Here is a 23,389-nt window from a genome sequence, read left to right on the forward strand (position 1 = left end):
TTACAGGCGTGAGCCACCGCGCCAGGCCTAAAAATTCTTTATTGCAGTTCTCCTATCTTAATAAATTGGCTCTGTCTGGGCAGCAGGCAAGGAGAACCCATTGGGTGGTTACAAGAGTGCGCCCAGGTTCAGAGGCTAAGTGCTTACAAATGCTTCTTGCTGCTGAAAAGTGAAAAGGACAAAAAGACAATAGGTATTATTTAGTGAAGGTGAAAAAATTTAAGAGCTGGCTGTTTGAGTAGGTTAAGTGGCCAAATTTGATAAATAAGGAAGATATAAATGTTCCCATGCTTGGGCCAATTTTCCTTGTGAAATTCTTAAAGACAGGAAGGCATAAACTACTCCTTTCACCATCATAACAAATTGTGACTATTACAACATACACAATCACAAGTACATGGCAAACTCTAAAAACTATGTTATTAGTGATTTGTATTCATTCAGTAGATACCTATTGAACATATACCATATAGTACAGTTGGTAATAAAGGTAGGACGGGTTGTCAATGGGTGTTTAATACATAGTGATAAGCTATATTCAATTAAAAAAACCTTCAATTTGATTTCTTACGAAGTATACAGCTCTCCTAACTTCGAATTCTCCCTTTGAAAGCAAGCGTTCATTGTTTGAAATAGCTCTGTCTGTCCCTACTACTGTTTACTGACATTTTCTACATTTTAGCATCAGACCAAGTTTTAGAAATTTTTATAACTTGATTATCTTCTCCTTCCACCAAGCTGCCAAATGACTTGTTTATTTTGCCTCTCAGTTTGTCCAGATAAAGTTTATGGCTCACACAAATCTAGCCAGGTACATACCAGTAACTCCAAAGGGGGAAAGAGGTGAGTAAAAAAAGAAAAGCTGGAAGTCTTTTAATGTTAACATTTTATTTAAACCAGTACAAGCACCATGCTTAACAAAAGACTGTCCAAAATAAACATGCAATATGAACTAGCAGAGACTGAAACCACAGCTTAAGGAGTTGTGTCAGTTGTTGGTTTTGTTAAACGATGACAGAGAACTGTTAAAATTCACAAGACTAAACCATTAATGTTTCAAGCCTCCTGAATGAGATTATCTTGGACCATCTAAATCAGTGGGAACTGCCCTGGCATGTTAATGATCTCAAACAATATTCAAGTAATTATATTTATATGAATTATAATCCAAAAAGCAATAAAATACAATTTCTATCACAAGTTTACTGTATATGAGCACTGATTTGAAATGTCAAATGGCATAATAAAAACAAATTTCTCAAGAATATTCAGCTTGGGAGCATTGGTTTTAAGCGGTCTAGAAGATTACTACATTCTTCCAGAAATACAAAATAAGATTTGTCCAGAAATGTTTGAAACACATCCTCACAAAAGTTGTAATGGCTCAAACTCTATAAATTCCAGTATTATCAGTCTATTGAACAAATAGGGAAAGCAACCATAGTAAGAATACTTGAATTGATAGAATATGAGTTACTCTCTACTTCCACCAAATATCAGCATTTAAACTCTTATGAAAATATCTATTCATCACTAGTCCACATATGGATTAATGACATTGCTCAGGTTTTAAAAGCAGTCCAAACATTTTTTAAGTACACCTTCCTTAATATCTATATGGGTTGGGGGGAACAGCCAAATTTAATTTGGCAATAAACTCCCCTAACTGGAAATTTTTAGCTAAAGTGTCAGACAAGGATACAGTTTATGGCTACATTTGACTCCTGAAAATAGGAGATAAAAAAGGAGGGAAAAGTGCTGACACACATTTTGCCACACAGATTATTTAGTAATGACAGTAAAAAATTTAGCAACACACACTTAAACAAGAGTATGTTTAACTGCACTAGGCATTTAGTAAACTTTTAGAACTAGACAATTTGAACATTTTAGAAGTCAATTAAACAAAAACAGTCAACCAACTTTTTTCCTAATATAATTGCGTCAATACCAGAACAAAGTGATCACTATTCAAAACTCAGACATTTTGGAATTTCAGCATAGTAACCTGAGAAGTTTTCTTCGTATGTATTTTTGTTGTCATGGAAACCACACTAAATAATACTGTGATTACCAGTTGGTTCTATTTTGACATTAGATGCTATGCAGAACTTATGCAGGGCCAAAAATTTCAAAACTAACACTGACTTAGAAGACCACGAAGGAGGATCCCAGGAAAAAAGTTGCTGCTAAAAAGGACTCAGATTTAAGGCTGAATGGGAATGGTTGTACCAGAAAGATAACGGAATGTAAAAACTGGAATTATGAAATCTGGAGTTATTATTTGGGAAATGGCAGAAAAAAAGACAGTAAATACGAAACATACTTGAAAAGAACAATGCAAAATTTAGTAAGATGAAAGGGAAATCTATATAAATGTTTGAGAACATTTTAGAGCACGGGATTTGTAAATTTCCCCATAGGACAGATGGAATAAAAATGTCCTACTGATCCTCTAACCTCAATCTGTTGTCTTGCCAAAAACATGTTATTAATTAGGAGTCAGACAAGCTCAAAAAAGCATGGTTTATCACAGCTCTTTGCTCCTGTTAAAGACAGTAGCGGAACTAAGAGTGCTAACGTATGGCAGGTCAATATTATCTGACATTATGGAGGACCTCCAAATTTAAAAATAAGCAAAACTAAAACATGCAAGACAAAATAAGGAACTTCATTAAAAAATACATTCTTGCAGCACTAGTTTCTCTTACTGCTGCAAAACAGGTGAAACAAAACCTCATTTCCTTCATTCAAAAACATTAAAAACACTCTCCACTCACTTGGATTACATGTGCATTCCTACAGAATTATATGCATGTTATTCTCCAATATCAAAATACCTGTTTAAAGAATTTTTAAACTTCCTGGGTGAGTTTTCTCTTCTCTCTGGAAATTGGAATAAAGAATCTTTTCCCTCCAAGAACCAAAACAAACACCTACTCTAGCACTTCCTCATCTCCAACTTTCTATTGCTTCCTGACTTCTAAATTAGTGAAGCCAAACAGTGTTGGGAACAGAAGATGTTCTATTCAATATCGCAAAAATTCCAACTATCTTTACTTCTCACAGAAACCTCAAAAATAAAATGCAAAGAACATATGAATGGAAAACATGCCAAAATTTAAATTTTGCTAGTTTTGAGATGACTAAGATATTCTTAATATAAGAATACACTCACCAAGTTTGGTTAGTTTTTAGAGTCTCTAGACCTATTATCAAATTAATGTTCAATGGTTACTTATGTATTTGTTTTTACAAGTATGCCAAATATCAGAATCCTCGCTTTATGCCAAGAGTACCATCATCTAACAAGACTGGTTTAGTTAACTATTCAGGCATCCAGTTCAGAATATCTTCTGACATTTAGGATATAAGATGTGATTGCTATTGAAGTGTTAATGTTATTAACTATGGCCAAAGTTTTAAGATAATTTTTTCCTATGGCACAAAACTAACCACAAGTATACCCAAAATTATAACTCTCGACTGCCATATATTCACCAATGCAAGCAGATAGTTGGAATTTTTAAAATATGAAGTTGATTTTATTACAAATTTCAGATATACACATTAGAAAATTATTTTATTTGGACCCTTTAAAAAAGTATTAATTTCACCAAATGTGGAATACTGGCAGTGTAAAAGTCTTAAACTAACTTTAAAGCTAACAAATCAAAGGCACAGTATTAACACATTTAAAATAATTAGTGTTCACAGGACATTGAGGTGCTTTATAAATAAAGTGTTATTAACCTAGATTCAAAACTGTCTAGAAATGACATAAAAGGAATGAAGCCCTTGATTATTACAACCCACCAATTTCTAAGACTAAGATGCTATAAGGAGAAAAGCTAACAGTCATAATTCTATCATAAAATCTAACTCCCGACCTTAAAAATGAGTGACTGATGAACATAGTTTCTAGACTTGATTAAAAAGATACAGGAAACCAAAGAAGATACAGAATTCATCAATGTACTTGTAATACAGGTTACACTAAATTATTCATGGCTCAATACTGGGTCACTCAAGTCTTTGACCCCAAATGAATTTCAATGATTTGACAAGTGATAATACGCTATTTTCATAAATAAACTGCTAATATCCAGTATTTGTCAAAAGGAGGCAACTGTTGTCTCTCACAATCTAATATATCCACTTTCCAATGGTGTCTGTAAATAGTAACAAATTCCGAACCATAAGTTATAGAAATTAGTCACAAGAGTGCAAAAAGTCCCTGGAGAAAAGTAGTCCACCTAACAATTACCAATATAAGGAAACACTTTACAAAGTTTCATTACTATGAAGATGATTTCCTCTTTGTTCAAATTTTGCACAAATGAAGAATTTTTCTTTACTGCAGGAAACAAACTGTAAGTAACAGTGCATTTTTAGGCATAAATAAGTATTTATGTCTGATTCCAGTATGGTCAGGTTAATACATAAATACTTTAGAAACACAGAAGTTCACATTAGTGAAAAAATCCAAGTTTCTCACGTAACCATTCTTCAGTTAGGTCTTCGGTATTTCTTATTTCAAATACCTTTAAAAAAAAAAAAAACTTGGGTCATACTTTGACACTCCAAAAAAAAAGTCAAATATTTGAATTTTTTAAAATATATTTGAGTATTATACACCAAACTATTTTTGGTTATATATTTGAGTATTAAATACCAAATTCTGCTTCCTTTCATATTGTTCATGACTTAACCTGTGTAAATGAGATATACCTTTTAGGTAGAACTTCACTTCTTTTAAATGCTAAGTACTCAGTTACCAAAGTACAGCAATCAAGACAACATGAAACCAAAACTCTCCCAAAAGCACAAATCTACAAATAGTCTAAAAGAGCAGTTCTGTAAATCTTATCTCCTAGAAGACATCCCAAGTAAACACAACTAAAATCAATCTAGTTAGGAACTGAGGAACATACGCTGGTCTTCCAGAGTCTGAATGTCAAATGGAAATATCAGAGGGAGATGGAGATCAGCCACAAATCTCCAGCAAGAATCTGAATCAGGCCCAGAAAGCATAACGGCTATAGAAAAGCAATGTATTACAGCAGAAAGGATAGGATTTGGAGCCAGATGTGAATCCTAAGTCCTAGACAGAGCTAAATCCTAGCTCTGTCTAAATTTACTGTTATGCAACCCTGAGCAAGTCATTCATCCACTGGGTCTGTTTTCCTATCTACAGAATATCTCACAGGGCTGTTGTAAGGATTCAATGAGATTATCTGTAAAAGTAACTGGTAAACTGTAATGTCTCAACTTCAGCACTGTAGGGCATCCCCAGGATTAGAACAGACTTGAGGCCGTTAACAGCTCCTTCTTAACCACCCAAACCGTTAGAGCAACTCCAGTGTCCCTGTGTTACAAATCAGGAAAAAGTAATGTCTATAAAGCAGTGGTAACAATCACATGGGCTAAGGGGAAACAGCAGAGGGCACTTAAAGGCATTCCAGAGTTGATTATTAAGCACCCAAGGGGAAAATACTGATGCTGTTCTTAAAATAAAACTTGAAAGGAAATACTGTCTAACACAGTTTTGGCAATATAATATCCTATTTCAAAACCTTAAGTGCATATACTTTTTCAATTCAAACTAATATGTGGAAGTTAAATAAAGTTTGAGAGCCAAGTACCTCTTACCTTTAACTTTCAAAAATACCATAAAATAGGGACATGTTAAATCTTAAAGCAAGTTCTCATATAAAACAGAATGTTCTAACTTTATTAATATTCTTAACAATTTTATATTTGGAAACAATACAATTAACTGCATAATACTGAATTCCAGCACAGAACTCGGTTCATTTTAGACTATGGTAAAGGGTTCAGAGAAACTTCAATGCTGACCCTTATCTATTAGAAATTACCTTATGGCAGATAAACTAACTCTCAATAGATTTAATAGTTACAGTGGCTTTCTAACACTGCCTATATTTTGAATGTGATTTCTTCCAATCAACTTATTCAAAAAATACACTTTGGTTCAAACGCTTCTATCTCATTCTATTTCCAGTTAACAAAAAGCTTTGGCTAACTTACTAATCTGGTCTAAATAACCTTCACCTGCATAAAAAATACTCCTTTAGACTATTTTAGCTATTGCTTTATAGTCTAAAGGAAAATATTGTCTCAACAAGTCAGTCAAATATAAATACCACCTTGGTTAGTTCAGCTGTCTGGACTAGCTTATTCTTACTTCCAGCATACATCATCTGTTGTTCAGGCTTACATCCTGGAAAAGAGAGATTAGTGTAGAAATGAGACACAGATTTTGAGAAAGGTATGGGTTATCATTATTTTTATTTTTTAAAATGACACATTTAGGATTTCCTTTGCTATTGAGTTTACAGAATATATATGGGTTGTATTTTGAGTCTTACATTGCACACTGCCTACAGAAAGAGACAGTTAAGTTATAAATAAACAAGAACAAGTCTACAGGTTGGCAAAAATAAAGATTCTAGACATTTGTAGATCCTGACTTTTAGAGCCTTGCAAACAATTAAAAACTTTCTGCACTATCTTAACTTTGACACTAAATATCAAGATCAATTTTATGGATGACTAAAATACACAAGGTTTTGGGATGGTAGTGGACCAGTAGGGCAGGGAGATCTGCTCTGATAAAAGTTTCACTCTGCCGATATATTAAGTTAAAAATATACTGCAGTATATTTTGAGTGGGAAGTAAATTATACAAATTATGAAGTTTGGAGAATAGCTCAGTGAATGCAGTTTTTATTGCAGGCCTGAACAGTGGTGATAGAAGTTCTGGTGATAATGAATTCCTTAAATACCAGTAACCCATTTTAATACCCAATGTAAATTACTCTAGGACCATTCTCAAGATTATAAGCATATCACTGTTAACTACTATTTAAAAGAAACACAAATATATGCAATTATATGTGAAGTTCACATTTTTATATGATTAAAATATAAAAAGAAAATACTTCTGCTATATTAGAATGTCATCACGTTTCAAAATCCTTAAAATACATGTATGATTTGAGTCAACAATTACACGTCTAGAAATTTATCCTAAGAAAATAAGTTCTAAGAGATGATGCTTCATTCTTTCTAGGGATGCATGCACACAGGCACATGGACACACATAGACACAGACCCTCCTCAATTTAGGTTATTCAACAATGTTCATCTTTAAAAACAGCAGAAAATTTGTCTAGTATAAAATGGCTTAATTGGATCTAAGCCAAATATGTGTTATTTAAAGAAATTCACTTACCAACAGGACTGGAGAAAATAAAGCACAGAGGATATGAAACTCTTCCATCATCATGTTGATATTTATAACTATACACAATGAAGGTTTTTCTCAAGTTAAAGAAACTAAAGTTACTGCTCTCAGACAGGTATTTACCAACACCTGGGGAGCTACTGAGCTGCAAGTTTCTGTCCTATTCTTTTAGGCCACACCTTCATTATTATCTTTCCACAAAATTAAATGGGTTCCAAGGATAAGTTATAAAATCACATAATCTCTCAAAAAATTTAACTTTTTAAAGTACAAGTTTAATACAGATTATTTTCTCAATTTTTATTGTACACGTTATAATAAAGGAAATAGTTTTAAAAAGAAAATTATTCATCCCACGAATAAACCAACTTTTCATTTTTCTTAGTCTAGTATATGCACACATATTTTAATTTGGCTGTCATCATGACACAGAAGGATACTTTTAGATGTTTAACAAATGAGCTCACAAACAGGTCTGACCACTAAAGAAAATAAATCTTTTAAAGCACTAAGAAAAGGATATCGAGGTTGTCGTTCAGGTAGTTCATCTTTAAGTTCATCTGGTGAAATGCCCTGGCACCACAGAGAAAAGCAACTTTTAAACATTTTCTTACCCATAAGTCCTTAAGAGATACACCAAGCACCCATTCTACTAACAGTTATAAATTTATTACCACATGCTACAAAATAAAATTTTATCTTACTAAATTATACATAAACTCAGGTTACTAAATTCTCAATCCAATCAAAGCCTCCTTCTGCCCACTTGGTTTCATTCCATTTATTAAGTAAATATGGGGCTGGGAGGCACAGATTCTATGCTTATGTCCCAGCTGTCAGGAAATACTGAATGACATAAGCCAGTATCTTAGCGGAAAGAAACAATGTCTGATTTCAGAAAAAAGAATTGAATTCTTTTTACTCTAGTTACTTAATTTGACAAACCAGATATTTAAATTGTAGGGTTTCAGGTTTTAAGTACTAGTCAAGCAACTTAGAAGCAAGTTACAAAGTTGACTCACTTCTTACTCAGTATATGACCCCAACTTATACCACTTATTACACTGGACTTCACTAATGCTTTTAAACAAGGTAGTTAAATTAGCAATATCACAAACTACACAATTAGCACATGCTTTTATGCATAATGAGCATGTATTTAAAGGAGGTTCAAGATTCGTTTTAGAAGCATATGTAACTAATATAGCATCTTTTGAGAAATAATAATTACTTAACTATAAAATTGTATTTAGTTCATTGAACAAACCTCAAGCTCCTCATCCAGTACCACCAGGCGTTTATCCTTGTCAATCTTCACTAAAATAAAAATCAAGTATGAGTAAGCTGGGATTCTAATGTGACCCTGATCTGCCCAACCCACACAATCTCAGCCTTTTTTTTCGGACATCTAAAATTAAAACATCAAGAAACAGAAGCATATAACTAATTCACAGTTTTAGTTTACGGTTTATTAGCTAGCTTTGCTTTTCAAGCTGTCAGCTTTTAAAAGCTTTTACCCATAATTCCCAGTACCTAATTTGCTTATTTAGAACTTGCTGTTAATTTCTTACATTTCCTGTGTATATGAAAGAACTTTGTAACTCAAATCCAACTTCTAGATAATAAGAAAAAGCCTGAAAGGGTAACTGTAACTGATTGGTCTATATGCAACATGGTCAGAACTGCAAGGGAAAAAGTGCCTGATCGGGGATCAAAATAGAGAAACCTCAAAATTCCTGGCTTCTCCAAGGTCAGGATTTCATGGCACGGTATCATTATTCTAAGAAAGTGAATAACCAAATAGAAGTGATATCTACATTCAAATATATCTAATGTAATCCAAAGCTAAATCAAAATAAGTTTAGATACTCTATGCCTCTATCCTTTCCTGTTAGTCTGGCAAAGTTGACCATGTTTGGTTTTGCACCAATTTGATAGTAAATCTTGTGAGATATAATGTAATCTCAAATAGTTTCAGCTTTTGCAGTAAATGGCACTAACACACATTTTCACTTTTATTTTTTTTTCACTTTTAAGAACCATATGTCGACATTGCAGTATTTATTTATAATGAAATCAGAATTCATGACAAGTTGTCATGACCTCTGATTAAATCACATCTGCCAGATGCATCTCTGTTAAGCATGGTCTCTAGAGTTTTACATTTTCACCCCCTCATCCTTTCCTCATCTTTCTAAATCACTACCTACATATTAAATACTGCCTATGAATACAAGGGAAATCTGCATAATGTCAGATATAGCTCACAGTGGGAGGAGCAATATGCAAATCACTTTTTCCATTTTCAGAAGATAGTGCCAGTGCCACTTAAAAGTACTCTTCCTGAAACCAGAGTTCAAATCTACAACTGGAATAATGCCCAAAGTCACTATGTACACAATGCTGAACTTTGTCATTTTAGGTGTAGGCAAAGGTTTCTATTTGAGGATGAATGGCCAGGCTATTTTTAGTCCCCCAAGAAGGATGGGTTGGATGGGTCACTGCAGATGGGAATCCTCATTACCCAAGGACCAAGACGACCGCCTTCTCCAGAGCTGTACAGGCAGCTGATAAAAGGACTATGGGGGAGGTGGGACAATCCACCTCTGTTCTGTGACATTAGAATTAGCTGTTACTTATTTTTTAAAGTGATCTAAAGGTGGTGGTGGGGAAATGAAACAGAGGAAGTAACATTGCTTTCCAACGGTTCAGTTCATTCAATGTAGCTACAAGATTAAAAACAAATTAAGACCATGTAACTTTGAGGCAATCACTTTTAGCTTACTTATAATAGCAGCGTTGTTCGTTTCTTTGCGAAAACGAAACTTTCTCAGCTTTTCCACTAAATCTTCGGCAACATCACAAACAACCAAAGACTCACTCTATAAAAGAAAAAAAACACACATAAAATGCCATGACTTCAATATATGTACATGTTAAAGTTATGAAACCTAATACCTTTATAATGCATACTGACATTCACAAATGTCAATTAAGTGAAAGCATTAAATACATGAACACTTAAAAGAACTTTAAAATCAACCAACCTTTGGATCTACATTGCTTAATCCTACAAATTTGTTCATCTCATATATGTAAGGTATATTTTAACTTTCTCTTTGGCTAATGAATGTCTCAAAAACCACACACATAATAATGTGCAATGTCATCAGAACTGGAGAGGAAGGGAAGAATATGGGGAAAGTCAAGAATCACTGTCTGCTGTTAGAAAGGGAGTCAAGCATACTATTTTTACACAGTGAAGGAAGAACAAGAAAATAATCTGATTATACTTAGAATTAATAAATTATTTTTTGTCCTCACAATTACAGGGGAAAAAAAATATAAGCAACAAAAGTGTTAAAAACCCCATAAGAGTAAAGACCAATAATATTTTATATTATAATTAAATGATTATAGAGATATAAAAAGGAGCTACTAAGAATGTGCAAAAGAAATAAAAGCAGAGACAAAAAGAAACATTGCGATTGATACCACAGAAATACAAAGAATCATTAGAGACTATTATGAACACTATAACAAAATGGAAAACCTGGAAGCAATGGATAAATTCTTGGACACACACAATCTACCAAGACTCAACCATGAAGAAATAGAAAACCTGAACAAACCAATAATGAGTAATGAGACTGAAACAGTAATAAAGTCTCCCATCAAAGAAAAACTCAGGATCTGAGGGCTTCACTGCTGAATTCTACCAAAGATTTAAAACACCACTTCTACTCAAACTATTCAAAAAAATTGAAGGGGAGAACATACCTCCAAGCTCATTCTACAAGAACAGCATTACCCTGATACCACAACCAGACAAGTATACAACAACAAAAAAAAACTATAGGTCAATATGCTTGATGAACATAGATGCAAAAATCCTTAACAAAATACTAGAAAACCAGATGCAACAACACATTAAAAAGATCATTCACCGTGATCAAGTGGGATTATCCCAGGGATGTAAGAATGGTTCAACATGGGCAAATCAATAAATGTGATACATTACATTAACAGAATAACAAAAATCGTATCATTTCAAGAGATGCTGAAAAAACATTTGATAAAATTCAACATCCTTTCATGATAAAAACCCTCAACAAATTGGGTATAGAAAGAACACACCTCAAAACAATAAAGGCCATATATGACAAACCCACAGCTGACAGCATACTAAATGGGGAAAAACTGAAAGCCTTTACTCTAAGTTCTGGAGTAAAACAAGGATGCCCAATTGTACCACTTTTATTCAACATAGTACTGGGAGTCCTAGCCAGAGCAGTTAGGGAAGAGAAAGAAATAAAAGACATCCAAGTTAGAAAAAAAGAAGTCAAATTATCCTTGTTTATGACAACATGATCTTATATTTAGAAAAAGCTAAAGACTCCATTAAAAAAAAAACTATTAGAACTGATAAATGATTTCAGTAAAGTTTAGGATACAAAATCAACATACAAAAATCAGTAGCATTTATATACAACAACAGGAAACAATCTGAAAAAGAAATCAAGAAAGCAATCTCACTTACAATAGCTATAAAAAATTTAGGAATAAATTTAACCAAAGAAGTGACAGATCTCTACAATGAAAATTATAAAACACAGATGAAAGAAATTGAAGAGAACATACAAAAATGGAAAGATTCCAAGCTCATGGATTACAAGACATAATATTGTTAAAATGTCCATACTAACCCAAAGTGATCTACAGATTCAATGCAATCCCCATCAAAATACCAATGACATTCTTAAAAGCAAGAGAGAAAAGATCCTAAAATTTGTAAGGAGCCACAAAAGACTGTGAATAGCCAAAGCAACCCTCAGCAAAAAGAACAAAGCAGTACTTCAAAATATACTACAAAACAATAGTTACCAAAACAGCATGATCCTGGCATAAAACCACACACACAGGCCAATGAAACAGAATAGAGAACCCAGAAGTAAATCTACACATTTATAGCCAACTCATTTTGGACAATGATGCCAAAAACATACACTGGGGAAAGGACACTCTCTCCAATAAATGGTGCTGGGAAAACCAGATAGCTATATGCAGAATAAAACCAGACCCCGGGCCGGGCACAGTGGCTCACGCCTGTAATCCCAGCACTTTGGGAGGCCGAGGCGGGCGGATCATGAGGTCAGGAGTTCGAGACCAGCCTGGCTAACATGGTGAAACCCCGTCTCTACTAAAAATACAAAAATTAGCTGGGCGTGGTGGCAAGCGTCTGTAATCCCAGCTACTCGGGAGGCTGAGGCAGGAGAATCGCTTGAACCCGGGAGGCTGAGGTTGCAGTGAGCCGAGATTGCACCACTGCACTCTAGCCTGGCGACAGAGCGAGACTCCATCTCAAAAACAAAAACAAAAAAACAAAAACAAACAGACCCCAACTCTCAGCATATACAAAAATCAAATCAAAATGGATTAAAGACTTAAATGTAAGATCTGAAACTATACAACCACTAGAAGAAAACACTGGGCAATTGCTTCAGGACATTGGTCTGGGCAAAGATTTTTTTGAGTAAGACCTCAAAAGCACAGACAACTAAAGCAAAATAGACAAATGAGATCATATCAAGCTAAAAAGCTTCTGAGAGGAAAGAAAACAACGAGTGAAGAGACAACCTACAGAATGGGAGAAAATATCTGCAAATTCTCCACTCAACAAAGGATTAATAATCAGAATATACAAGGATCTCAAACAACTCAATAGCAAAAAATTCCCATTTAGTCCTAATAATAGTTAACATGTATCAGACCCTATGAGAGAAACACTGTTATATCCTTTACATAGATTTCCTTTTATGTTCAAAACAATCTCACGAAACAGATACTATTATTACTCCCATTTTGCAAGAAACTAAGGTTTAGAGAGGTTAAGTATCTTTCCCCAATTACATAGCTAGTGGAGCCAGGATTCAACCCAGGCAGCCTATCTTAACTCACTCTCTTAACCACTACAAAGGAGGTGGTGACAGATTGGATATTGGGGGTGGGGGTGGGGTGTGAGTAAGCAAAAAAAAGGGTTACCAGATATACTAGGCTTCTGGCTGGTATAACAGATTGTCTTGTATAACAGACAGAAGACTAGGTTTGAGGAGAAAGGGCATGAGTTCTACTTTGGACAAACTGAGGTGGCTTTGAGGAGACCAAGTGGAGGAAAAGCTTCCCAGGGGAATGGTAACTAAATATTGAAATATTAATATATAGATCTGGGGTCAGGCGCGGTAGCTCACGTCTGTAATCTCAACACTTTGGGAGGCCGGGGCAGGTGGATCACTTGAGGTCAGGAGATCGAGACCATCCTGGCTAACATGGTGAAACCCCGTCTCTACTAAAAATACAAAATTAGGGCCGGGCGCGGTGGCTCACGCCTGTAATCCCAGCACTTTGGGAGGCCGAGGCAGGTGGATCACGAGGTCAGGAGATCGAGACCATCCTGGCTAACACGGTGAAACCCCGTCTGTACTAAAAATACAAAAACAAAATTAGCCGGGTGTGGTGGCGGGAGCCTGTAGTCCCAGCTACTCGGGAGGCTGAGGCGGGAGAACGAACGGCGTGAACCAGGGAGGCGGAGCTTGCAGTGAGCGGAGATCGCGCCACTGCACTCCAACCAACGCGACAGAGCGAGACTCCATCTCAAAACAAACAAACAAAAAAACAAAATTAGCCGGGCGTGGTGGCACATGCCTGTAATCCCAGCTACTTGGGAGGCTGAGGCAGGAGAACTGCTTGAACCTGGGAGGCGGAGGTTGCAATGGGCCGAGATCCCGCCATTGCACTCCAGCCTGGGCCACAAGAGTGAAACTCCGACTCAAAGAAAAAAAAGTACATACAGATCTGGATTGGATCTCAGAAGCAAGGTCTTCTGAGCTGTAAATTCACAAGTCATCTGAATATAGATGGTAACTGAAGCCATAGTTTAGGATGAAGAATACAGAATGGAAAATGAAGGATTAGGATGAAACCTGGGACTCCTTCGAGCATTGTCCAGGGAAAGGAGAATAGTCTGAAAGGGAAACAGATGGACCAATAGGAGAAGTAGGAGGAGCTCTGTATCCCAGAAGCCAAAGGGGAAGAATGAAGGAAGAGAATGCTTCAAAAACAAGAGAGTATAACACTCTGGAATGCAGCTAAAAGGTCAGAGAAGACGAAAACTGAAAAGAATCCATTCGATTCAGTGACCATGACAAGATCTATTCGATGAAAGTGGGCTGAGAATTGAGTGGATGGTCACAGAGAGCAGTGTTTTGTTGTTTCTAATGAAATTTACCCATATTTTAAAACCTAATGGGATGGATCCAAAAGATCCTTGATGGCGATTTATTTAATTTTCCACTTTATTTTTATGCTTGGGGTCCATCCCATGTAAGAACAGAAGCCACAGCCCCCAGAACCAACAAAACTAAAGTTATTGACAATTACTTTAAGGCCCAGTGCCAAAGCTTTGGGTCGAAAGGTTTCCAACTGCCATAGGAAAGCAAAGATAAGGAGAAATCCTCTGTAGGAAGCTAGGGAAAGGAGCAGAGAGAAAGAAGCTAAGGTGAGGCCGAGAGAATTCAATCGGAATTCGAGTCCTCCCCCAAAACGCCGCCAGGTGGAAGATGCTCGGGGCCCACCAACCCCTGGAACCTGGCCACGGCCCTGGCAGGGAAAGCAGGAATTGAGGGAGCCCTCCGATGGGGCAGACCCCTTTCCCTCCAACCTACAGCTCAGAAGCTGAAGCCCTCCAACCAGAAGGACCTGGCGTGGGGCCTCCCCAACCCCCCTGCTCGTGGCCGCACCCTAGTCCCATGGCCCGCTGGGCGGGTCCACCCCGGGCCCAGCTGGAAGATGCTGCCCTGAGGCGTGGTGGCGGCGGCAGAGGCCAAGTACTCTAGCTATGGGCACTGGCCAGCTGCTGGGAGCGGAAGCGGCCGCCGAGCCCTCCTGGGCGCTGCCCGCCGCCGCCGGCTCCGGAAACCGGGAAAACCCGGCTGGCCGGCTCGCCCAGCCCTCCGGCCCCCGCCCTCCCAGCGGCAACTCACCATTTTCCTTCCGGCCGTCAGCGGCCTGTCGCCTACACTCGGGCGCCTTTAAGAATGGCACGGCGGCCGCCTCCCTTCCTGCCCCGGCGCCTGGCCCAGTCGCCCCCACCTATCAACGCGGCCTCAGCGGGCCGGCACGTGATGGCGGACGGCAAAAGGCGCGGCTCAAAATTAGACAGAATGCGATCGCCTGATTTTTTTTTTTTTTTTTTTTTTTTTTTTTTTCTTTTCCCTGCTCCCTCTAGAGGAGGACGCTCTGCCTGGCTGCAAGTGAGAAACAAACCCAAGGTGCATACTTAAAAGTCATGCCAGTTCTCCGGACCTTTTTCGCAGTCTTCAAGCTCTGAGAGCATGTTAATGGTGACATCAATGTTTTCAATGGTAAATGTGTGTACTGACCGCAGCCTACCTTCCAAATTTGATCTCCCTCAAATCTAGGCACACCTCCTTTCCTCCCACCCTCTCCAGAACCCCACTTCTGACCACGGCTGCCTTCCAGGACTTGGTTAATCAATCTCTCTCTCTCTCTCTCTCTCTTTCTCTCTCTCTCCCTCCCCCTTTCCCTCTCTCTCTTACACACATTTCTTCTCTCTCACACACACACACATTTCTTCTCTCTTCTCTCACACACACACATTTCTTCTCTCTCTCTCTCGTCTCGCTCTGTTGCCCAGGCTGGAATGCAGTAGCACGATTATAGCTCACAGCAGCCTCAAACTCCTGGGTTCAAGCAATCCTCCTACCTCAGCCTCCCCAGTAGCTGGGACTACAGCCGTGTGCCACCACACACCCGGCTAATTTTTAAATTTTTTTGTAGAGATAGAGTCTCCCTATATTGCCCAAGCTGGTCTTGAACTCCTGGCCACAAACAGTCTTCCTGTGTGCCTCCCAAAGCGCTGGGATCACAGGCGTCAGCCACCATGCCCAGCCTCTTTTCTCCATACAAGTTATTTATTGAAGTATGAATGAATGATGATTGGTGTTTCAATGAGCACTCTTATGGGCCACTGCCTAAGTAAACATCAAGAAGTCTCTGTACCAGATGCAGACTTAGTGGAACAAGTCCAGTTTTGAATGCATGAAGAAAGTGGTTTGGGAGAAGTAAAGTTTAGGCTCTAGGATTCAACAGGTACCTTCAATAAAACAAACTGCCTGGGGCAGTACCTCATTTTGTTATGACCATGGGTTCTTGGTCTCTCAATGCAAATTGACCTGAGGCCAAAAGAGTTTCTCCAGGCAAGGCTTCATTGGAGCTTATGCCGGAGCATAAGGGAGGCAGCATAAGAGAATGAGAGAATTCCCTGACTGACTCTCCTAAAAGAGCACAACAAATTAGGGGTAGTTTATGCAGGTCAGCATTATCTGTTTGCCAGGGTTGTCTTGAGTAATGGGCCACCCAATGGTCTGGTTTGCGGCAACAAGGCTGTGAATCAATTGTTCAACATTCCTCTCCAAGGTGGGACACTCTCAACCTTGGTTATCTCCTAAGGCCAGTCATTGGAATTCTTTAAATAAAAGGACTATTAGCAGTAAGGTAGTGGTGTGGGTTTGTCATGAGTGGAAATGCATGAAAAAAATGCTCTAGTGTGGGTGAGCTGAAGCCAAGCCCCATTTCTACTGTTTTTCATTTCCCCTTATAAGATTTTACCTTCCTTATTCTTAAGGAGAAAGGGCCAAAGATCTTATCTTCTAAAGCTACTTCCTGCTGAACAGGGTTGTCATCCCTGCTTAACCCCGGGGGGCATGGAAATCTCTCACCGACTGTTCTACAGACTTGAAGGGACTTGGAATAGTTGAAGCCTGGAAGACATAAACTTTAACAACTGTACCCCTATTGAATATAACAAATAATTATTTTAAAAGCCAAATAGCACCCAGTGATAACTAATAAAATGCTTAAGCTCAGTTTAATAATGATTGTAGGAAGAGATTAGATGCCATTTGGAATCTAAGTGAATAGTCTCCTGTTGTCTGAAATATAAGGCAACAGACTTTTAATAAGAGGCATTTCTATGGAAACAGAAGAAAAACAAACGTTAATGGTTGGTATAATCTATCCAGATGTTAGACTCAAAGCATCTTTAGTTACAGAGGAGGAAGGCAGTGGCAATGTGACATGTTCTTCTTGCTTGTATCACAAGAAATAAGCTTCAGCTTGCAGGGCCTCAGAAAAAAAGGTAGTAGGAATTCTATTGAGTATAAGTCAGAAAAATGGGAGAAAAATTTGAAAACATTATTTTGGAGACTTGTAGCCCAGAAAGGTTTTAAGATCAAATCCAAATTGTAGAAAATAATATTTTATTTTTATTTATTTTTTGAGACAGAGTCTCACTCTGTCGCCCAGACTGGAGTGCAGTGGCTTGATCTCAGTTCACTGCAGCCTCCACTTCCCATGTTCAAGCGACTCTCATGCCTCAGCCTCCCAAGTAGCTGGGACTACAGGTGTATGCCACCATACCTGTCTAATTTTTTTTGTATTTTTAGTAGAGAAGGGGTTTCACCATGTTGGCCAGGTTGATCTTGAACTCCTGACCTTAGTGATCTGCCCACCTCAGCCTCCCAAAGTGCTGGGATTAGACGCATGAGCCACCACACCCAGCAGAAAATAATATTTTAAAAATACTCAAACACAACAGACAAGACTAGAGTCTACCAGCAGGTGTATTATAATATTTCTCTCTCCAGTCTCTCATTTTTATCAGAGACGAATCAAGGTAGGACCAATTTGTAAAATAAGTTTTAGTTTTATTATACTTGGCCTTATTATGTGTATAAAGTGCAGCAAGAATAATTATCTTTTAAATTGGCTTTGTTGGAACTTTTTCCATAAGGAATCTCAGATGAGACTTTTTAAAGCCTTGAGCAGGCTGGGCTGCAAATACCTGTATAAACTGGGTGAATTCCTCTCCTCTGGACATCCCAGGATAACTTGGAGCTTCTGGGCCTGTTAGAAAGTGACATTCTTGGATGAGTGCAGTGGCTCACACTTGTAATCCCAGCACTTTGGGAGGCCAAGGCGGGCAGATCACTTGAGCCCAGGAATTCGAGACCAGCATGGGCAACATGGTGAAACCCTGTCTCTACAAAAATTACAAAAAAATAGTGGGGCATGGTGGTGTGCACCTGTGGTCCCAGATACTCAGGAGGCTGAAGTGGGAGAATTGCATAAGCCTGGGAGGTGGAGGTTGCAGTGACTGGGTGACAGAGTAAGACCCTGTCTCAAAATAAATAAATATAATAAAAAATAAAAAGAAAGTGACATTCTGTACATACCACAGATTGGGAACTCTGTATAGGGACTGCATAGACTATGAGGCCAGTTTTCCTAAAGGACTCTTATGGGCTCTATAAGTCAACTTTGATTCCCTAGTCTATTTATATTTGAAAGCATGTCATTTCAGTGAAAGCCTTGGTAAAATAACCAGTGTTTCCAATTGTGTTCTGTTATCAAAGAAACAGATTCTTATTGCAATTATGCAAATAATTATGCAAATAACTGTATTGCCATAAGTTAAGAATACTCAGGAATAGTTTCCAAATTCTGGAGAAGTCAGATAGAAAGAAATATGCTCGGGCGTGGTGGCAGGCACCCATAGTCCCAGCTACTGGGGAGGCTGAGGCAGGAGAATGGTGTGAACCTGGGAGGTGGGGCTTGCAGTGAGCAGAGATTGTGCCACTGCACTCCAGCCTGGGTGACAGAGCGATACTCCATCTCAAAAAAAAAAAAAAAAAAAGAAATATGCTTCAATTTTTGTTCACAGGATTATACCTTACTCAATTGTTAAAAGCCGTAAAAAGCTCAAAAGAAAAAAAAAGTTTTCTTGACTCCAAAAATCAAAAGGATCAGCAACAGTTCAAGCAAAAAGTCATAAAATGATTGTTTTAATCTTTTATTAGTTCAGTCCACGTAATTAACTTCTGCTCTTGATATTTGACACCTTAGCTCTCCAAGAGAGCCCTGGAAGTTTTTCCCTCTATTCTAATGACCCACTCTCCAAAGTGATCAGAGAACTATATTTAAGAGTATCCAGTCTTATAGCTGATTATAAACTGCCTTTTGAAAAGGATCAAAACAAAATAACAGACCAAGTGAGGTGGCTCAAGCCTGTAGTTCCAGCACTTTGGGAGGCCAAGACCAGAAGAAAGAATTCGACTGAGGGGCAGAGACAGAAGTAGAAACCGAGGCAAGTTTCAGAGCAGGAGTGAAATTTTATTAAAAAGCTTTAGAACAGTGAGGAAAGAAAAGAAAAGAAGGTAGGTACAACTTGGAAGAAGGCCAAGCAGTGTTCAACCTTGATCCTAGGGCCTTTACAGGCTGGCTCCTTTCCCACGATTCTTCCCTTAGGGTGGGCTGCCTACACCCACAGTGTCCCCCTTACCCCTGGGAAGTGCGCACACACGGTTTGCTTAGGATGTTGTGTACATGCCCATCTGAGGCTTTCTTCCCTTTTCCGGGGGAGTCCCCCCTCCTCCCAAAGTAATACTCTTAACATTTTGTCTCTTTTTTTTTTTTTTTTTTTGAGATGGAGTCTGGCTCTGTCGCCAGGCAGAAGTGCAGTGGCGCCATCTCAGGTCACTGCAACCTCCGACTGCCTGGTTCAAATGATTCTTCTGCCTCAGCCTCCCGAGTAGCTGGGATTACAGGCGTGAGCTACCGTGCCTGGCCGCCATTCTGTCTCTTAATGGGCGTGCCTAGGAAGTTGTTTCTCCCTGGCACCCGCATTCGGTTAACACTTTAGTGGAACAGGTGGGGACCATTAGGAAATAGTCTCTCCCTGGCATCAGCTCCCAATTTATCACTTTTAAGAGGCAATGTGATAATTGTCAAACCATCACTCCAAGTTCCTAGTGGGTGGGGGAGAGCCCTCTCCTGCCCCACCCATGCCTGTCTAACTACCTGTAGCGAGAGGAGTTCATGACTTTAAACATCTAGTAAAGACAGTATCATGACTTTAAAGCATCTAGTAAAGACAGTATCTGACCTGCCTAATTTAGATCAAATACCTAAATTTTGAAGATGTTTTATTAATAATTTGTAAAACTGTACCAAAGATTACTAAAATAATGTGGACTAAAATCCATTAAAGCTTTTTTTTGACCAAATATTTTATTTAAGCACTGAATTTTCTTCAAGCCAATTGATGAGAGCTCTTTTATATAAACATTACACACACTGCATATAAGCACAGACACAGACAGGCAGAAGCAGGTCTGGTAGGGTTATACATTTTTCATTTGCCAGGTAAGTTTTTCTTTCCCATTTTAGACTATCAGTGTCTTGATTACCTGTTTTCTGCCTTAAACAGTTGTCAGCTAGGCAACTCTAAATTTGCATTTTTCAAAAGACAACTCAGGTAAACAAGATACAGAATTCACATTTTACTCAAACCAAGAAAAAATGGCCTGACTAAAAGTTAAGATGGCCAGGAAAAGCAGACATTCTTACACATCAAGATTTCCTTAAAGATGTAAATTTTTAAAGTTGGATTACTGGATTTAGAGTGGAGCCTTTTAAGGAACAGGGCCCAGAAAGCATGCAGTTTCTAAGACCTAATAGGTCTTAGACCTATTAGGGCACAGATGAAAGGCAGAACAGAACCCCAGAAGCCAAGGAGCTCATTTTTATACCAAATTTTAGGTTCTCAAAAAGAAGAAACCACTACAGGATGCGACAGTGTAATGCTTTCACAATGTATTTCATTGTTTTTTGTTTTGTTTTGTTTTGTTTTGTTTGTTTGTTTGTTTTGAGACAAAATCTCCCTCTGTTGCCCAGGCTGGAGTGCAGCGGCGCAGTCTTGGCTCACTGCAACCTCCACCTCCCAGGTTCAAGTGGTTCTCCTGCCTCAGCCTCCCTAGTAACTGGGATTACAGGCTCATGCCACCATGCTCGGCTAATTTTTTTGTATTTTTAGTAGAGGCGGGGTTTCACCATGTTGGCTAGGCTGGTCAACTCCTGACCTCAAGTGATCCGCCCACCTCGGCCTCCCAAAGTGTTGGGATTACAGGCCTGAGCCACCGTGCCCGGCCCACAGTGTATTTCATTGTAAGGACATTTTCTGAAGCTGCTGGATAACCAAATGCCTATCAGCGAGCTCTGTAATCAGCCCATCTCACATTTCATACTTTCCAGGTGCACAAGAGCCTGTTTTTCTCATCTAAATGTGCAAAGAAAGGAGTATTACCTTGTAATAATAACTGTTCACTGTAAGCAACTGTCATTAGCCATCCCTAAAAGTGTATTTCCTACCTAGCTATTACATACAAAAGCTAAAAGTTTTCTCACAAAGCAAAATAATTTTTGATGTCCCCAAAAGTAAAACAGGTCAGGTAACACAATGCAAAACAGAGCAAAGCCTTCGATTTTAAAAGGAAACTGTCTGCTTACAATTCTTGGGGTTCCACGAGGACAACAAAATTTTCTCCCAAAACAGGGTCGGTGGCACCTCCCATGTTTCTCCCAAGAAGTCCCAGGCTGTCAGAAATTACCTTAGGTCATCTCTTGTGGACGTACAGGGTGGCAAGAAGACAGAAGTAAATGGAGAAATGATTCAGTCAACTGAGAAGGAAAAAAACACTTTTTTTCCCCCAAAAAACAAGACCTAAGAAGAGAAAAAAGCCTAAAAGCCTTATAAAATTAGTTGACTTTTAACCATAGAACTCTTAAAAACAAAACAAAACAAAAAACTTGGCTAGATGTGGTGGCTGATGCCTGTAATCCCAGCACTTTGGGAAGCCCAGGCGGGCAGATCACTTGAGCCCAGGAGTTGGAGACCAGCCTGGCCAACATGGTAACACCCTGTCTCTACTAAAAATACAAAAATTAGCTGGACATGGTGGCATGCACCTTTAGTCCCAGCTACTTAGGAAAATGAGGCAGAAGAATCACTTGAACCTTGGAGGCTTAGGTTGCAGTGAGCCGAGATCATGCCATTGCACTCCGGCCTGGGTGACAGAGTGAGACTCTGTCTCAAAAAAAAAAAAAAAAAAAGCCAGAGGTGTCAGCTGTTTGTCCCAGATAACAAAAGATTTTAAAATATAAGTATACTTTTTGAGAAGGAGTCTCTCACTCTGTTGCCCAGGCTGGAGTGCAGTGGCGTGATCTTGGTTCACTGCAATCTCTGCCTCCTGGGCTCAAGCGATTCTCCTGCCTCAGTTTCTGAGTAGCTGGGATTATAGGTGCACGTCACCACGCCCAGCTAAGTTTTTGTATTTTTGTAGAGATGGGGTTTCGCCATGTTGGTCAGGCTGGTCTGGAACTCCTGGCCTCAAGTGATCCACCCACCTCGGCCTCCCAAAGTGCTGGGATTACAGGCATGAGCCACCATGCCCGGTCACCTCTGTCTTTTAAACCTTTCATATATATGTATATGTCCCCCACCCCCTACTCCCCCTTCTCCAGTCCCTGCAAAGGTATTTTCCCTAGTGAAACCAATAAGCCTTAACTAAAGCTATGACTTAACCACGAGTGTATGAGGTGTCTTCAAAGAGATGTCAAGTGGTTTTTACATGATTTAGAATCTCCCCAAAGGTAGCTTAGAGAAAGGAAAATTCAAGACAGAAAGTCAGAAGTTGTTTATGGAGGGGAAAAGAATCAATAAATAGCAAAGATCACACAAATAACAAACCAGAAAAGATTAATTCCCTGGGAATATGAACCCAGGCAGCCCCTAGTGAAGGGGGAAAGCCCTAGCTACTGAGCTAACGCATGGGGTTGTTACCATGCTCTTCTCTGAAGGAGACTAGAGCAGTCATTTTCAAGCCTACACAGGATTTTAACTGCTTGACACAATTTTTTTTTTTTTTTTTTTTTTTTTTTTTGGGAGAGAGTCTTGCTCTGTCCCCCAGGCTAGAGTCCAGTGGTGCGATCTTGGCTCACTGCAAGCTCCGCCTCCTGGGTTCACGCCATTTTCGCCTCAGCCTCAGCCTCCCAAGTAGTTGGGACTACAGGCGCCCGCCACCACGCCCAGCTAATATTTTTGTATTTTTTAGTAGAGACGGGGTTTCACCGTGTTAGTCAGGATGGTCTCAATCTCCTGACCTCATGATCCGTCCCCCTCGGCCTTCCAAAGTGCTAGGATTA

General features: G+C 38.8%; 1 protein-coding gene across 1 annotated transcript, besides 2 other annotated features; it reads right to left on the reverse strand.

Moving 5' to 3' along the window:
- Positions 1 to 869: 869 nt before the first annotated feature.
- GMFB (glia maturation factor beta) lies at positions 870 to 15,365 on the reverse strand. The gene is made up of 7 exons (NM_004124.3): positions 15,310 to 15,365; positions 10,056 to 10,152; positions 8,538 to 8,587; positions 7,794 to 7,843; positions 7,259 to 7,341; positions 6,171 to 6,244; positions 870 to 4,544 (listed from the first exon to the last, which is right to left on the reverse strand). Exons 1-7 carry the CDS (start codon positions 15,310 to 15,312, stop codon positions 4,473 to 4,475), a joined length of 429 nt encoding a protein of 142 aa, NP_004115.1. The 5' UTR covers positions 15,313 to 15,365; the 3' UTR covers positions 870 to 4,472.
- Positions 10,031 to 10,110: an enhancer, noted in NCBI's record as "active region_8411". NCBI's record gives its function as "activates an Ori minimal core promoter by ATAC-STARR-seq in GM12878 lymphoblastoid cells {active_cell/tissue: GM12878}" and the evidence as "EXISTENCE:reporter gene assay evidence [ECO:0000049][PMID:35858748]".
- Positions 15,048 to 15,447: a silencer, noted in NCBI's record as "silent region_5764". NCBI's record gives its function as "represses an Ori minimal core promoter by ATAC-STARR-seq in GM12878 lymphoblastoid cells {active_cell/tissue: GM12878}" and the evidence as "EXISTENCE:reporter gene assay evidence [ECO:0000049][PMID:35858748]".

Source organism: Homo sapiens, chromosome 14 (genome assembly GCF_000001405.40).
Source record: "Homo sapiens chromosome 14, GRCh38.p14 Primary Assembly".
In the NCBI taxonomy this organism is placed as follows: Eukaryota; Metazoa; Chordata; class Mammalia; order Primates; family Hominidae; genus Homo; species Homo sapiens.

What these genes read in the sequence shown, in the direction of transcription:
- GMFB (NM_004124.3), bottom strand. An exon ending in GAACAACGCTGCTATTATAA is followed by an intron (nt 8,588 to 10,055) that starts GTAAGCTAAAAG and finishes TTTTTATTTTAG; the next exon opens with TGAAGATTGACAAGGATAAA. An exon ending in TATTTTCTCCAGTCCTGTTG is followed by an intron (nt 6,245 to 7,258) that starts GTAAGTGAATTT and finishes TCTCTTTTCCAG; the next exon opens with GATGTAAGCCTGAACAACAG.